The sequence below is a fragment of the Homo sapiens genome, chromosome 13, assembly GCF_000001405.40.
Source record: "Homo sapiens chromosome 13, GRCh38.p14 Primary Assembly".
NCBI lineage: Eukaryota > Metazoa > Chordata > Mammalia > Primates > Hominidae > Homo > Homo sapiens.
The window spans coordinates 87,185,220-87,187,449 of record NC_000013.11 but is presented as its reverse complement, the minus strand read 5'-3'; the positions used below and the strand labels follow the sequence as shown (position 1 = coordinate 87,187,449).

The window sequence follows — 2,230 nt, the reverse complement described above, 5'->3', positions numbered from 1 at the left end:
ACTTAGACTGTGCCCCAAAAAACTTGTCATTCCTACTATCTTCTGTTTAGTCATACTCCTATTCACCATTCTCAACTACTCATACGTGCTCTTCTCTTGTTTACACTGCCGGTTTACACTGTTTCTCCAAGCCATCACAGCTAATATCTCCTGGTGCTATCCCCAAACTGCCACTCTTAACTCTTCAGGTAAATAAATAATCTTTGCTGGCAGGACTATGCTGAATCTCCTTAGGCACTCTCTAATCAGATGTCCTGGGTCCTCCCAATTCTGAGACCTTTTATACCTGTTTTTCTCCTTCTCTTATTCCACTTAGTTTTTCAATTCATACAAAACCGTATCCAGGCCATCACCAATAATTCTACACAACAAATGTTTCTTCTAACAACCCCACAATATCGCCCCTTACCACAAAATCTTCCTTCAGCTTAATCTCTCCCACTCTAGGTTCCCATGCCGCCACAATCCCACTCGAAGCAGCCCTGAGAAACATCGCCCCTTATCTCTACATACCACCCCCAAAAATTTTCACCATCCCAACACTTTACCACTATTTTGTTTTATTTTTCTTATTAATATAAGAAGACAGGAATGTCAGGCCTCTGAGCCCAAGCTGTGCCATCATATCCCCTGTGATCTGCACATACACATCCAGATGGCCGGTTCCTGCCTTAACTGATGACATTCCACCACAAAAGAAGTGAAAATGGCCTGTTCCTGCCTTAACTGATGACATTGTCTTGTGAAATTCCTTCTCCTGGCTCATCCTGGCTCAAAAGCTCCCCTACTGAGGACCTTGTGACCCCCACTCTGCCCGCCAGAGAATAACCCCCCTTTGACTGTAATTTTCCTTTATCTACCCAAATCCTATAAAATGGCCCCACCCCTATCTCCCTTCGCTGACTCTCTTTTGGGACTCAGCCTGCCTGCACCCAGGTGATTAAAAGCTTTATTGCTCACAAAAAGCCTGCTTGGTGGTCTCTTCACTTGGACGCGCATGAAAGAAAACATTGGGAAAGACATTAAAACCAGTACAACAAAAAGAAAATATAGAAGGGCAATGAATATATGAAAAAATCTACAATCTTTTTAAGATGCTGGAAAATGAAAAAAAAACTAAATAAGAAATTACTACAAATCCTCACATATAGCTAATACCAAAATAACACTTAATAAGTGTGACATGAAGGATAGACAGCGATATTCATTTATTCTTGGTGGAAATGTAAATTGGTCAAAAAAGGCAATATATTTGGAAGTAGCTATTAAAGTTTAACATATTAAAAAATTCTATAACAAAACAATTCCATTCTTATATGTATATTTAATTATAATGTGTGCACTTTTGCACTGAGATGTATACGAAAAGGTAAATAGCAGGGCCAAATCAGAACCACACTAATGTTCATTAATGCTTAAATATTTGACAAATTTGAGAAAAAATACAGCAACAAAAATAAATGGAAGGCCTCTACATGTAATAACATATTTAAATCGCCCAAATATGTAGTCAAACAATATCCAAGACCATCTAGTGTATGAATCCACTTATACAAAGTTCAAAACCAGCACAAACAAAATTGTATTGATAGAAAATAGAACTATAGCCACATTTTGAAGAAAAGGTAGAGTAGTGATTGGACAAGGCATGAAAGTGTCTTGAAAATTACTAAAACATATTAAATTACTAGACCTGGATATGCTTATATATGTTTACTTTTGATTAATTAATTGTATTATGAAATTTTGTTCTGTGTAAATTTTTTTCTGTGTTATATTTCCCAATACAAAAGTTCAGGCCAGATGCGGTGGCTTACGCCTGTAATCCCAGCATTTTGGGAGGCTGAGGCAGGCGGATCACAAGGTCAGGAGATTGAGACTATCCTGGCTAACATGGTGAAACCCCGTCTCTACTAAAAATACAAAAAATTACCCAGGCATGGTGGCGAGCGCCTGTAGTCCCAGCTACTCGGGAGGCTGAGGAGGGAGAATAGCGTGAACCCATGAGGCGGAGCTTGCAGTGAACTGAGATCACACCACTGCACTCCATCCAGCCTGGGCGACAGAACAAGACTCTGTCTCAAAATAAATAAATAAATAAATAAATAAATAAATAAATAAATAAATAAATAAAAGTTCAAATAATTAAAAGACTCATTTATTTCTGTAGCCCAGAAATCTCTAAGATTTAGCTATTTCTTTGTCTAACTGTCTTCTATTACTACAATTT

General features: G+C 38.0%; 1 annotated feature.

The window, feature by feature from the left end:
- Positions 581–1,093: an enhancer, noted in NCBI's record as "OCT4-NANOG-H3K27ac hESC enhancer chr13:87838612-87839124 (GRCh37/hg19 assembly coordinates)". NCBI's record gives its function as "activates a minimal SCP1, AML or CMV promoter by ChIP-STARR-seq in naive H9 embryonic stem cells {active_cell/tissue: H9 hESC(naive)}" and the evidence as "EXISTENCE:reporter gene assay evidence [ECO:0000049][PMID:30033119]".